General features: G+C 37.4%; 1 protein-coding gene across 8 annotated transcripts in view; it reads right to left on the bottom strand.

Annotated features, from left to right (window-relative positions):
- The window catches only part of RNF175 (ring finger protein 175), a 49,865-nt gene that overhangs the window by 18,980 nt on the left and 16,064 nt on the right, over positions 1–14,821 (bottom strand). The window contains exon 1 of one of the 8 annotated variants that reach the window (XM_005262940.5): positions 535–13,683. The exons of the other annotated variants lie outside the window; for them this stretch is intronic. Within the exon in view, the coding sequence (XP_005262997.1) occupies positions 535–537 (3 nt within the window). The 5' untranslated portion in view covers positions 538–13,683. Of the gene's footprint in view, positions 1–534; positions 13,684–14,821 lie in introns of those variants that run through there. 8 annotated transcript variants of the gene reach the window in all.

A 14,821-nucleotide genomic window follows, 5' to 3' on the forward strand; every position in this document is an offset into this window, starting at 1 on the left:
TGGGAAAAGCAGACAGCTTTAATCAATAGCAATATCCTTTGGTCTTTTATGTTTTCTCGCATTCAGACTAAACACCTATTATTTGCTCAGAATGAACATAAGGGGAACGGCAAAGAGGGTTTTGTCTCAAGGGTGTACGTTAACTAATTTTTAGTGGTAGCCTGCAGCGCTCTGTTGAGGATTCTGAGCCTGGATCCTGGTTCAGTGGTAGAGTCTTATAATCAGTTAATGAAGTCTGCCAGCAATGTGGGAAGAGTGGTTAGAGCTTGCTTATCGCATATTCATCATCCTGAGTATTAAAAAGGCTGCTGCCATTTGTTTTCTTTACCTTCTCAATCTTTGCAATAGAAAAGGGAGGCTTAGAACAAAAGAGTCTATGGATATATTGTTGGATCCTTTAAACAGGTCTTGGTGATAATAGTCTAAGGTCAATAACCAAAGCTCTTGGACAGGACTTCAAGATAGAAATGAGAAAGGCAAGACCACAGCCATTCTTCTTTCAATGTCAGATAAGAAGACATTTCCCAGGCTCACCATTCTCCTTTGATTGCTCCATCCTCATAAATGATCTGAAGTCTTCTTAGAATTGCTCTGAATCTTCTTTCAGAGAACCCTAGAGTTGTTATCATAGATATGCACTTAAACAAAAACACACACGGAGCAAGTCTGAGGTGAGTATCTGAGGAGTTCGGGAACAAATCCTATAACTTCAATTTTTGTTTTTTAACTTCAAGGAATACTTTCAGGGAAAAAAATCCACTAATCTTGCCTCCATTTATCAGATAACTGCTTTAAATTTCCATCCTACTTTGTGGGTGTGGAAAATGAATGAGTTAGCACCTTTATGTAATTGAGATAAATACACATACACAAATAGGAAAAACAAGCTTTACTTAAGGAAGTAGAATAGTTTTCAAGAGGACCCGAAACCATATGCTAAGTAACCAAGACTCAAGATGTGCTTACTTAAGCATTCAGCAACTTTGACCCTCTGCTATTGACAGTAAAAGTATGCAGCACCATGGCCTGGTGTGGTGGCTCATGCCTGTAATCCCAGCAGTTTGGGAGGCGGGGGTGGATGAATTTCTTGAGCTCAGGAGCTTGAGACCAGCCTGGGCAACATGGCCAAACCCTGTCTCTACAAAAATTAGCCAGACGTGGTGGTATGTGCCTGTAGTCCCAGCTACTCAGAAGGCTGAGGTGGGAGGACCACCTGAGCCCTTGAGGTCAAGGCTGCAGTGAGTTGAGATCATGACACTGCACCGGGTGACAGAGTTAGACCCTGTCTTAAAAAAAAAAAAGTGGGTAGCACCTTAACAAAAATCTTATCAGCATATTGGTCATTTATTTTCTGTAGCTGATTTTGGAGATAGTTCTTTATCATAAATTATACATTTGCTGACTTAAAAGATCATTACTTCTGGTAGTAAAGAAGGAAATGGACATGAACTTCATCTTTCAAAGTCTGATCATCTGTCGTTTGCATTTTTCCTCTTTCTATTTTAAGAATTTGTTTCATTTTTTTATTTCCCCATAAAATACTGGAGTTTTTTAAAATAAAAACTTGAGTTGGTTCATTTTAATTCAGTGGAACTACTATGCTCTTATATTTTATACTTTAGATCTAAGCCAAAATATAAGACTAATCAATTTCTTCTAATCCATGGAGTTACAATCCATGATAGTTTGGAGCCACAGCTGGACTATATTTTAATAAAACCAGTTCTCTTCCTGTAAATCCATAAGTATGAACAATTTCTAGAAGATGTCAAATTTCTCTTGATGCCTAGATTTAATTAATAGTGAGTAACAATGTTCAATGTACAGACATTGTACTTTTAAAAATAGGCTTTGGAGATCAAAAAGGAAAAGAAAGCAAAAAATCATTAGAATGTATTATGTGTGCAAATATTTTATTTCTTAACTATCTTTAAAATGTAACTCAGCACCATATTTTCTCAATATATGAAGGGAAAGTTCAGTAATTTGCTCTGTGAATTCAGTGATTGCATGGCTAGTCATTTTGAAATGAGAGACACATTTCATATCAATTTAAAAGATTCTTTATCAATTTCCAGAGCAGTTAAAATTTCTCATTTTAAATAGTAACTGCCATATATGAAATGTAGGAATGCTGTCCCTCATAAATAAACACATGAAATATATGAAATCGAGGCACATACATGCAAAGAAGGAAGCCTGGCATCTGGAACTCATTAATAATGCCACAGGGGTCACCATCTGGGCATGTGTGTATAAAACACATCTGCACTACTGGCAACGGGTGGCTCATGCATCTGGATCACATCACTCACGTTCTCCCCAACCACATATCATAGCAGGAGGAATTTCCTGATGAATCAGATGCTGCCCAAAAGTACCATGGTTTCTTTGTGTTGCCATGCACATAATGAATCTGAAAAGAATTACAGATCAAGCTAAAACAAAGATACCTTTCATTTGGCTAATTGTACAGAATGATGAATGGGCCATGCAATATTAAAAGAAAGAAGGAAAGAGAAAGAAAGAGAGAGAGGGAGGGAGGGAGGAAGGAAGGAAGGAAGGAAGGAAACAAGGAAAAAAAGAAAAAAATAAATAAATTATGTGTGTTCATTTCCTCTGCACTGCAAATCCCAAACTATCTGCAATCATTTGTGTGTGGAGGGTGGTGGGATGGTGGAGGGAGGGCAGTGGTGTGCTCAGAGGTAAGCAGAAAATTATCATAAAAAAATACCCAGGAAACAATGCTGCTATTAGTAAAAGACAATGAAGGAGAGTGTGAATATAAAGCAAGTAGGAAGAAAGTATGGGTTGGCACGTGGTGACTCATGCCTGTAATCTGAGGACTTTGGGAGGCCGAGATGGGTGGATCCCTTGAGGCCAGAAGTTTGAGACCAGCCTGGGCAACATGGTGAAACCCCATCTCTACTAAAAATACAAAAATTAGCTGGGCGAGGTGGCACACGCCTGGAATCCCAGCTACTTGGGTGGCTGAAGCGTGAGAGTTGTTTGAACCTGGGAAGCGGAGGTTGCAGTGAGCCGACATCCTGCCACTGTACTACAGCCTGGGTAACAGAGCAAGACTCTGTCTCAAAAAAAAAAAACAAAAACAAAAAACAAAAAACAAAGAAGAAGAAGAAAATATGGAAATGGAATATTGGCATACAAAGGTTCCTTAGAAATTCAGTTGGTTCACTTTTTTTAATCTCCACATCAATCTAGATGGCTGATTTTGTTATTTAAACTTTTAAAGGAGGTTCTGCAATGTTATATACATATGTATTTAAGTATGTATGTATTTGTGTCTTGCCTCATTTTAAAAAGATTTGAGCAGACACAATGCTTTATTGGCCCAGTAATATTTTCTAGTATTTCACAGCTATTAATAGGCAGGAAGGTTGATTTAAATAGAGCAATGCTTCAATCTGGAAAATTATTTGCACTGTATTGAGGCAAGTTAATAGTGTGTCTGAAACCCAAGTTCTGGGCATGTAGTCATCAGGCCTTCTACTGATTTGTGAAGTCAGAGAAGGATTCTTTTTTGGCACTCTTCTGTCTACTTGCTGCAGATACGGAAAGTAACTGCACATAAAAGAAGGTGGAGAGGGTGATGTTGAATGAAATTTTATTTCTAGTTAAATGCTGTTCAAAGCATTTGGAAATGATTTAACTTTGAGGCTTTGCCTACATCTATAACATATCAAGATTACCAGCTGGAAAGGGAAAAATTCAAATACCCGGATGCTTGGACTATGCTGTGCTAAAAATGCGACTACTTGAAAACATCCAGGTATTTAGTAGTATCCCACATGAAATAAGAATTTCCCACCTTCTTTCCACTTTTGACATCACACAGGAGCAGTTAACATTATATTTCTATACTTTATTTTCTAAATAAACCATTTCTTTTGCTTTAGGTATTTATAATAAGCTGCTCTGATGTACACAGCTCCTACAGACCGCAGAACATAATCTATCTAGACAAATTTAAAAGACCACCTCAGAAGACGGGCATACTTGTTAAAAAGTTGTATCTGAAAATATTCTGAGCTTTTTGAATTAGTCTGTGTCCTCTTTAAGTACATGATCTGAATTATGCATAAAAGAATGTGAAAATAATAATCCTTTATAATGAATAATACCTTCAGGGTAAAAATAATATGCATAAATAATAATACATGCAGTATACAAAGCTTTTACACATATTACTATAAGTGCACTTCCTACTTTTTTTCTAACTTCCATCCCTTGCTTTTCTGTAAACTCGCATTCCAACAGTAAGTAACCTGGCTCCCACTAGCTGCTATTTACTTAATTGTTCAATTCCTGTGTACATACACAGCAGTATGATAATTGTTAATTTGTATCCCCACGGGGAACAATTTTATCAAGTGGAATACAGTACTTTTTTGCAGTTCCTATTGCCTTCATCTTACAGACTCTGCTCATTTCCAAAGTTACTTAAAGAGGGGGCGATACTTTTCCCCTCTCTACCCTTCAGTGAGGTTGTTTTCCATATTTTTAATGCAGTTAGATCCCCTTGCACAGTCTGCATTTCTCCCTGGAATCCCCCAACCTCCTAAATGATTCTTAAAAATGTTCCTATTTTGAAGTCCGGTTTTTGTGCTGTACAGCTCTATGACATTTGACAAATGCATAATATATTGTACCCACAAATACAATATTACACAAATTAATTTTACTACTCCAGAATTCCTGACCTATTTATTTTCCTCTCTTCCCCTCAAACCACTGATTGTTTTGCTGTCTCTATAGTTTTGTGGTTTTCAGAATGTCATATAATTGAAACCATACAGTATGTAGCTTTTTCACATTGGTTTGTTTCACTATGACTTGTTTCACCAAAGTTCATCCATGTTTTTTCATGACACAATAGCTTATTTCTTTTTATTATTGAATAGTATTCCATTGCATGAATGTACCACAGTTTATTTATCCAGCTTTTAAAGGATATCTTGGTTGCTACCAGTTTTGGGCAATTATGAATAAAGGTGCTGTAAATATTTGCATGCAGGTTTTTGTGTGAATGTAGGTTTTCAATTTAACTGGGTAAATACCCGGTAGAGTGATTATATAGTAAGCCTATGTTTAGCTTTGTGGGAGACTGCCAAACAGCCTTCAAAAATAGCTTTACCATTATTTGCATTCCCAACAACGAGAGTTCCTGCTACTCCACATTGTCATCAGTATTTGGTATTGTCAGTTTTTTGAATTTTAGCTATTCTAATAGGTGTGTAGTGTTATCTTATTATTGCCTTAATTCTCTAATGACACGATGAGATGATGAGCTCCTTTTCATATGCATATTTGCCATCTGTAAGTTTTCCTTAGTAGGAATTAATTAATTACATGTGTAATTAATTACATAAGTTAATCCAGATCTTTTGCCATTTTTAATGAGTTGTTTTCTCGTGGTTGAGTTTTAAGTATATTTTGGATACAAGTCCTTTATCAGATATATGTGTTTGCAAATATTTTCTCCAAGTCTGGCTTGTTTTTTTATTCTTTTTTTTTTTTTTTTTTTTTTTTTTTTGAGATGTTGTCCCGCTCTGTCGCCCAGGCTGGAGCGCAGTGGCGTGATCTCGGCTCACTGCAAGCTCCTCCTCCTGGGTTCACGCCATTCTCCTGCCTCAGCCTCCCGAGTACCTGGGACTACAGGCACCCGCCACCACACCCAGCTAATTTTTTGTATTTTTTAGTAGAGACGGGGTTTCATCGTGTTAGCCAGGATGGTCTCGATCTCCTGACCTAGTGATCTGCCCACCTCGGCCTCCCAAAGTGCAGGGATTACAGGCTTGAGCCACCATGCCTGGCCTCATTCTCTTAACAGTATCTTTTCCATAGCAGTTTTTAATTTCAATAAAATCTATCTTATTTATATTTTCTCTCATGGATCATGCTTTTGGTACCATATCTAAAAACCCATCATCAAATACAAGTAAACCTATATTTTTTTCCTATGTTATCTTCTCAAAGTCTTACAGTTTTGCATTTTTCATTTAGGCCCAAGATTCATTTCGAATTAATTTTTCTAAAAGGTGTATTGTATGTTCTGTGTCTGTGTCTATTTTTTTTTTTTTGGCATGTGAAAATCCAGTTGTTCCACAACCATTTGTTGGAAAGACTATCTTTCTCTATTGAATTGCCTTTGTCCTTTGTCATGGATCAGTGACTGTATTTGTTTGGGGGTCTATTTGTGGGCTCTCTATTCTGTTCCATTGACTTATGTGTCTATTCTTTCACCAGTACCATGCTATATTTATTACTGTAGCTTTACAGTAAGTCTTGAAATTGGGCAGTGTCAGTCCTCCAACTTTGTCTTTCAGTGTTGTGTTGTCTATTGTGGGTCCTTTGCTTTTCCACATGAACTGTAGAATCAGTTTGTTGACATACACAAAGTACCTTGCTGAGATTTTAGTTGAGATTGTGTTTAATCTATAGATCTATAGATCAAGTCAGGAAGACTGGACATATTGATACTGAATCTTCCAATCTATGAATATGGAATAATCTTTCCATTAATTTATATCTCCTTTCTCTGTATAGATCCTGTACATATTTTGATAGATTTATGACTAAGTATTTATTTTTTTTGGTGCAACTGTAAATGGTATTGTGTTTTAATTTCAAATTCTAATGGTTCATTACTGGTAACAATTGACTTTTGTATATTTACTTTGTATCTTCCAACCTTGCTATAATCACTTATTATTTCCATGAGTTTATGTTGATTCTTTGAGATTTTCCATATAGACAATCATGTAAGATGGTTTTAATTTTTCTTTCTAATCTGCATACCTTTTATTTCCTATCTTGCTGCACTAGCAAGGACTTCCTGCACAATGTTGAATAGGAGTGGTGAGACAGGACATTCTTTCCTTCTTCCTTATCTTAGAGGGAAATCATCCAGTTTCTCACCATTAAGTATGTCAGTTGTAGGCTTTCTGTAGGCACTCTTTATCAAGTTGGGAAATTCCCTTTTATTCCTAGTTTGCTGAGAGTTTTACATGAATGCATGCTAGACCTTGCCAAATGCTTCTGCTACATCTATTGATATGATCACAGGACTTTCTTCTTTAGCCTCTTGATGTGATTATTTACATAAATTGATTTTTAATTGTTGAGTCAGCCTTTCATATCTGGAATAAATCTCACTTGATTGTGGTGTATAATTCATTTTATACATTGTTGGATTTGCTCTGCTAATATTTTGATGAAGATTTTTGGATTTATGTTTTTGAGAGATTTTGGTCTACAGTTTCCTTTCCTTGTAATGTCTTCATATGGTAAGTCTTGAAATTGGGCAGTGTCAGTCCTCCAACTTTGTCTTTCTGGTTTTTTTATGAGGGTAATGCTGGCCTCAATGAATGAATTTGCAAGTACTCCCTCTGTTTCTATTTTCTGGGAGAGATTGTAGAGAACTGGTATCATTTCTTCTTTAAATGTTTGGTAGAATTTACCAGTGAAACAACCTGGGCTTGGTGCTTTCTTTTTTGGAAGGTTATTAATTATTGATTGAAATTTTAAATTGATATAGGCCTATTCAGTTCATCTATTTCTCCTTGTGCGAGTTTTGGTATAGTTTGTGTCTTTCAAAGAATTAGCCCACCTCATCTAATTTATCCAAATTTGTGTGCACAGAATTGTTTGTAGCCTTTTCTTTTTATGTCCATGGGATTAGTAATGATGATCTCATTTTCTTTTCTCTTTTTTCAGGGAGACAGGGCCTCTCTCTGTGACCCAGGCTGGAATGCAGTGGCACAACCATAGCTCACTGTACCTCCAACTCCTGGGCTTAAGCAATCCTCCTGCCTCAGCCTCCTGAGTAGCTAGGACTACAGGCACGTGCCATGATGCCTGGCTAATTTTCAAATTTTTTGTAGAGATGGGGTCTCATTATGTTGCCCAGGCTGGTCTTGAACACTTGGCCTCAAGTGATCCTCCCACCTCAGCCTCCCAAGTGCTGGGATGACAGGTGTGAGTCACTAAGCCTAGCCCAATTTTCTTTTATAATATTAGTAATTTGTGTTTTCTCTTTTTTTTTTCTTGGTTAGTCTGGCTAGAGGTTTATCAGATTTATTGATCTTTTCAAAGAACCAGCTTTTGGTTTCATTGTGTTTCCTCTACTGATTTCCTATTTTTAATTTCATCAATTTTTGCCAAAATTTATATTATTTATTTTCTGTTTGTTGTAGGCATAAATTACTCTTCCTTTTCTAGTTTCCTCAGGTGGATTTTTAGATTATTGATTTTAGACTTTTCTTCTTTTCTAATATATGCATTCAATGGTATAAATTTTCCTCTAAGCACTGCTTTTGCTGCATCCCAGAAATTTTGATAAGTTGCATTTTCATTTTCATTTAAATTATTTTAAAATTTCTCTGGAGTTTCTTCTTTGACCCATGTGTTATTTAGTATTATGTTATTTAATCTGAAAATATTTTGGAATTTTCCATGCTTTCTGTTATTAATTTCTAGTTTAATTCATTGTGGTTTGAGAGCATAGATTGTATAATTTCTATTCTTTTAAATTTATTTTGGAGTGTTTTATGGCTCAGAATGTGGTGTATTTTGGTGAATGTTCCATGTGATGTCAAGAAGAATATATACTCTGTTGTTGTTGGATGAAGTATTCTATAAATATCATTTAGAGCAAGCTGATGAATGGAACTGTTCAGTCAATTATGTCCTTACTAATTTTATGCCTGCTTGATCCATCAACTACTAAAAGATGTATTAAAATCTTTAACTATAATGGTCAATTTGTTGATTTCTCTTTGCAGTTCTATCAGTTTTTGTCTCACATATTTTGATGCTCTTTTGTTAGATGCATACATATTAAGAATTTCTTCTTGAATAACTGACCCCTTTATCATTATGTAATGCCCTTTCTTTCTTTCTTTTTTTGAGGCAGAGTCTCACTCCGCTGCCCAGGCTGGAGTGCAGTGGAGAGATCATGGCTCATTGCAGCATTGACCTCCTGGGCTCAAGCCATTTTCCCATCTCAGCCTCTGGAGTAGCTGGGACTACAGGAGCATGCCACTATGCCTGGCTAATTTTTAAATTATTTATAGAGATGGGGTTTCATCATGTTACCCAAGCTGGTTTTGAACTCCTAGGCTCAAGCGATCCTCCCTCCTCAGCCTCCAAGTAGCTGGAACTACAGGTGCCTGCCGCTACATCTGGCTAATTTTTTTTTTTTTTTGGTAGAGATAAGGTGTCACTTTGTTGCCCAAGCTGGTCTCGAGCTCTTGGCTCAAGCAGTCCTCCTACCTTGGGCTCTCAAAGTGCTGGAATTACAGGCATGAGCCACTGTGCCAAGCCAAATGCCCTTTCTTATCCCTGATAATTTTCCTTGTTCTGAAGTCCACTTTGTCTGAAATTAATATAGCTGGTCCAGCTTTCTTTTGATTAGTGTTAGTATGGAATATCTTTTTCCAAATCTTTACTGTTGATATATCTGTAACAACATATAATTGCATCTTGTTTTTGTAAATTAATCCACTCTGAAAATCTTTGTATTTTAATTTTTATATTTAGACCATTCACATTTGAAGTGATTATTGATATAGTTGGATTAATATCTACCATGTATGTAACTATTTTCTATTTGTTGCACTTGTTCCTTGCATCTTTCTCCCTCTCTCTCTGCCTTCTCTGGTTTTAACTGGGTATTTTATGAGATTCCATTTTCTCTCCTCTATTAGTATATCAATTATACTCCTTTACAATTATTTCTAGTGGTTTCTCCAGAGTTGCAAAATACATCCATAACTAATCCAAGTCCGTTCTCAAATAACACTTACAGCTTTGTTGGTATTATAGGTACCTTATAACAGAAATCCCAATTCCTCCCTCCCATTTCTTATAATACTGCTATCATTCATTTCAGTTATCCATATAACATAATCACCCAATACACTGTTCCTATGTTTACTTTGAACAATTAATCTATTAGAGGAATTAAGAAAAAGAAATAGGGCCGGGTGAGGTGGCTCATGCCAGTAATCCCAGCACTTTGGGAGACTGAGGTGGGCGGATCATGAGGTCAGGAGTTTGAGACCAGCCTGACCAACATGGTGAAACCTCGTCTCTACTAAAAATACAAAAATTAGCTGGGTGTTGGGGCAGGCACCTGTAATCCCAGCTACTCGGGAGGCTGAGGCAGGAGAATTGCTTGAACCCAGGAGGCGACGGGTACAGTGAGCCGAGATCACACCATTGTACTCCAGCGACAGAGCGAGACTCTGTCTCAAAATAAAAAATAAAAGAAAGAAAGAAAGAAAAAGTTTTATTTTATCTCTATTTATTCTTTCTCTGACATTCTTTCTTTCTTTATGTAGATTATCTGAGTTTCTGGCCTAAATCACTTTACTTCTTTCTGAAGAACTTTTAAAAAACACTTCTTACAGGTCAGAACTACTGGTAATGAATTCCTCATTTTTTGTTTGCCTGATAAAGTCTTTATTTCTCTTTCACTTTGAAGTGAATTTCTCTGGATATAGAATCCTAGACTGCTGGGATTTTTTCTTTCAATACTTTAAATATTTTACTTCACTTTCTTCTTGTTTGCATAGTTTGTTTTTCCCCTCTCTGGCTGCTTTTAAGGTTTTCCTTCATCTTTGGCTTTCCGTAGTGTGAATTTGACATACCCAGGTATAGATTTCTTGGTATTTACCCTACTTGGTGTTCTCTGAGTTTCTTGGATTTGTGGTTTGGTGTCTCCTTAATCTTGAAAAATTATTGGTCATTATTATTTCAAATATTTTTTCAGTTCCATTATCTCTTTCTTCTCCTTTTGGTATTCCAGTATGTGTATGTTATATTTTTTGAAAATGTTCCATAGTTTAGATATCCTGTTCTATTTTCTTTTCACTCTTTTTTTCTCTTTGCATCTCATTTTGGGAAGTTTCTACTGACATTATCTTCAAGCTCACTAATTCCTTCCTCAGCTTTGTCCAATCTATTGATGAGGCCATTCAAGACATTCTTCCTTTCTGGTACCATTTTTTTTTTGTTTTATTTTTAGCATTTTAAAAGGTTCTTTGTAAGTTTCCACTTCTCTGATTACATTACCCATCTATACTTGGATGTTGTCTACTTTTTCCATTAGAGATCTAAGCATATTAGCCATAATTATTTTAAGTTTTATTTTATTTTTAATTGAAAAATAATAATTGTATATATTTATGAAGTACAATGTGATGTTTCTGTACATGTATACATTGTGAAATGATCAAATCAGGCTAATTAGCATATCTATCACCTCAAATATTTATCATTTTTTTGCAGTGAGAACATTTAAAAATCCTCTCTTAGCTATTTTGGGACATTCAATACGTTTATGTTAACTACAGTCACCATGCTGTGCAATAGAATACCAGAATTTATTCCTCATATCTAACTGAAACTTTGTACTTGTTTACCAATATCTCCTCTTTCCCCATCTACCCACCCCTCTATGGCCTCTGGTAGCCACCATTCTACTCTACTTCTGTGAGTTTGACTTTTTAATCATAATTATTTTAAATTCCTGGTCTGATAATTCCAAAATCTCTCCCATATCTGAGTCTGGTTCTTTGTCTCTTCAGACTGTGTTTTTTTCCTCCTTCTAGCATGACTTGTAATATTTGGTTGAAAAGCAGACATGATGTATTGAGTAATAGAAGCTGAGATAAACAGGCCTTTAGTGTGAGGTTTTGTATTAATTTGGCTAGGAGTTGGGCTGTGTTTAATGTTTGCTGTAGTTGTAGGTGTCAAAGCCTTCAATTTCCACTAGTGTCCTTGTTTCTGTCTCTGCTGTTGTCTTTGGGTTTCCCTAAACATTCCTTCTTATATAGAGTCTAAGCCTTGCAGCTCTTTCAGCTCTAACTTTTGGCTATTACGCTGGACACCTGTTGATGTGGTGGCAGGGCGTAAGGATAGTGGGAGCATTCTGTTATCATATGGTTAAGTCTCTTTTAGGCCTGTGTACCTGGGGTGGCCTTTACAAGTGTTTCTCAACTATTTTGTTTCCCCTTAGGTGACACAGGAAGGCTAGAGGGAGCTGGAGTTGGGTTATTTCTCTCCCCTCATATTGGATGAGGCTCTGATCAATCTTTTCCCTTGCTGTGGTAGGTCTTATTATGGAGAACATTCTGGATCTGCTTCAGAGTGGTCACTTTTCCCCTCCCCTGCTGGAAGCATGAGAGCACTTCTTGGGTTTTCATTGTCAGACCCCGGTGGGGTAGCTGGAGGTAAAACCTAAACAAAATGTGGGGTCCCTGACTGTGGCTCCCAGGAGTTTCTCACTCTCACACTACTCTATGCACTGCTTCCAGCAATCCTTCAGAGTTACTACATTTGATATGGCATTGTCGCTTCTGCTTTCAGGAAGGAGATCTCAGCTGTGATTTCCTGCATTCATCTGTCTCTCTAGATTTTGAGGTGGTGGTTTTCCCTGTGACCTCAATTCTCTGACAGGTCCAAGAAAAGCCATTGATAATCAGTTTGGTCCGTTTTTTTCTTGTTGTAAGATAAAAGTGCTGACTTCCAAGCTTTTTATATGTTGGAGCTGAAACCAGAAGTCCTTCCTATTTTTTAAAATTTCATCATTTTAAATATTAGGAAACAAAGGCTCCTTGTGGTTAAATGAGTAGATAGAATCTTCCCACTTCTAAGCCAGTACTCTTTCCTTTCACCATCCTGCCACATTCGGTTGGTGCAAAAGTAATTGCTGTTTTTGCTATTAAAAGTAATGGGAAAAACCACAATCACTTTTGCACCAACCTACTATATCTCACAAAATCAGCCCAGGAAAATGTCCTCAGAAAAAGCATGAGACTGAATAGCTGGGCATGGTGGCTCACGCCTGTAATCCCAGCACCTTGGGAGGCCAGCCGAGGCAGGCGGATCACCTGAGGTCAGGAGTTTGAAACCAGCCTGGCCAACATAGTGAAACCCCGTCTCTACTAAAATAAAAAAATTAGCTAGGAGCAGTGTCAGGCACCTGTAATCCCAGCTACTCAGGAGGCTGAGGCAGGAGAATCTCTTGAACCTGGGAGGCAGAGGTTGCAGTGAGCCGAGATCATGCCACTGCACTCCACCTGGGTGACAGAGTGAGCTTCTGTTCCAAAAAAAAAAAAAAAAAAAAATTCAGGCAGAATAGAAGGGGGTGGCAAGGCAGTATAAGCAGATGTACTGCTTTGAAAAAAAACAATTCATTATCTCCTCATAGAGGATGTAAATCAATGGTTGAGCATTCTCTCTAGCTTTACAAAAGTGTCCAGAAAAGGATTCTTTTATTAGCAAACTGCTTTTACAGCATATGATTACGTTTGCACAAACGTTATAAACAAACAGTATCTATTGGATGCTTTCGGAGTCAACTAATAGTACTGAACACTTACTATGGATCAGCCACTGTACTAGAAATTCAGAGATATTTAATGAGCTTGTTCTTGATATGAGAGCAAATAACTAGTGAGGTTGGATTCTAGCCTCTCTGCAACTAATTAGTTATATGCCCTTGGCCAAGGTTTTTAATTTCTCTGAACTATATTTCACAAAGGGGATAAAAAATAATTACCTCTCAAGGTACCTGAGGTAATGTACAGAAAGCACTTATCATAGCTGTAATAATAATAGTAATTTATATATAGTAATTTTATGTATAATTATTATGAGTATTATAGTAATTATAATATATATTAATATGTTCCTAATATTGATAGAGGTTACAATATCAAGTCATGGAGATAAATTTCACTATGTAGCCCCTTGTAGAAAAGAGCCAGCAATGTTGTGAATCTTATAAACATGTTCAAAGCTCTCAATAGCTAGTCTTATACATGCCAAGAACAACAATTAAAAGCTAGCTTCTCTCTGGATGATAGGGCAATTTAGGTCAGCATTTATGGACACATGTCTGTCAAATTCCATCCCAAAGACTTTAAATTCAGTAGTGTATCAGGCCGTAGTTTTTTTTGATATTGTTCACCCAAGTATAAGAAAGCTGGAAACCAGTGTTAGAATAAGCTAGTGGTACTCTAGGAACAATTTCAAGCTCAAATGGTTGCAGACATCACCAAGAGTGGCTGAAATGGCTGTGCTCTGATGACCACTCTGGAGGTGAATCCCCAAGAAGGAATGCAAAGCATGGGGCAAAGTCAAGGCTGCAGCATGGGAAAGCCTGGCCTCTCATCTTGAGCCACAGATTGAGTAGCCCCTCAATAGAGACATGCAGGGGGATGGGGCTACTCAACCTGTTCCTTTGGGGCAATACCAATAATTAGATGGATTGATGTGCAAAGAAGTAGAATATATTCCAGAGACCAACAAAGTCTATGAGCTAACCCAGCAGAGTCTCAAGGCACCATGAGACCTGAATCTGTCCTTGACTATGGTGGGGGCAACTTTATGCAGGCTCCTGGCTTTGTCAAAGTGCTAGACAGGATCACCATGATCATTATCATCATGAGAGGCAGGATAACAGGCGCCTGGTCACCTCCAAGGTGATCCTTAGGACTACAGAGCCCCACTGGGTAGCCATAAAACATAGGAGCTGTGTGACAGAGGGACATAGACATAGCAAACTTAGAGAGCAAAAGTGGGGTGACTAAAGGAGTCAGGGGGAGGTGGCAGTCAAAAGCAAGTCCCTGGAGAGGCACTGCAGGTAGCACAGCTTGTGCAGTTAGCAACAGGAAACAACTCAGATGACTCCAGCTAACTAACAGAGGTCAGGGTCCAGGGTGTCCACCTAGTCCAGTGTAGCCTGAGTCATCTAAGGTCAGACCCTTCAAATGGCCACAAGTCCTTAAAG

The sequence above is a fragment of the Homo sapiens genome, chromosome 4 (assembly GCF_000001405.40).
Source record: "Homo sapiens chromosome 4, GRCh38.p14 Primary Assembly".
NCBI lineage: Eukaryota > Metazoa > Chordata > Mammalia > Primates > Hominidae > Homo > Homo sapiens.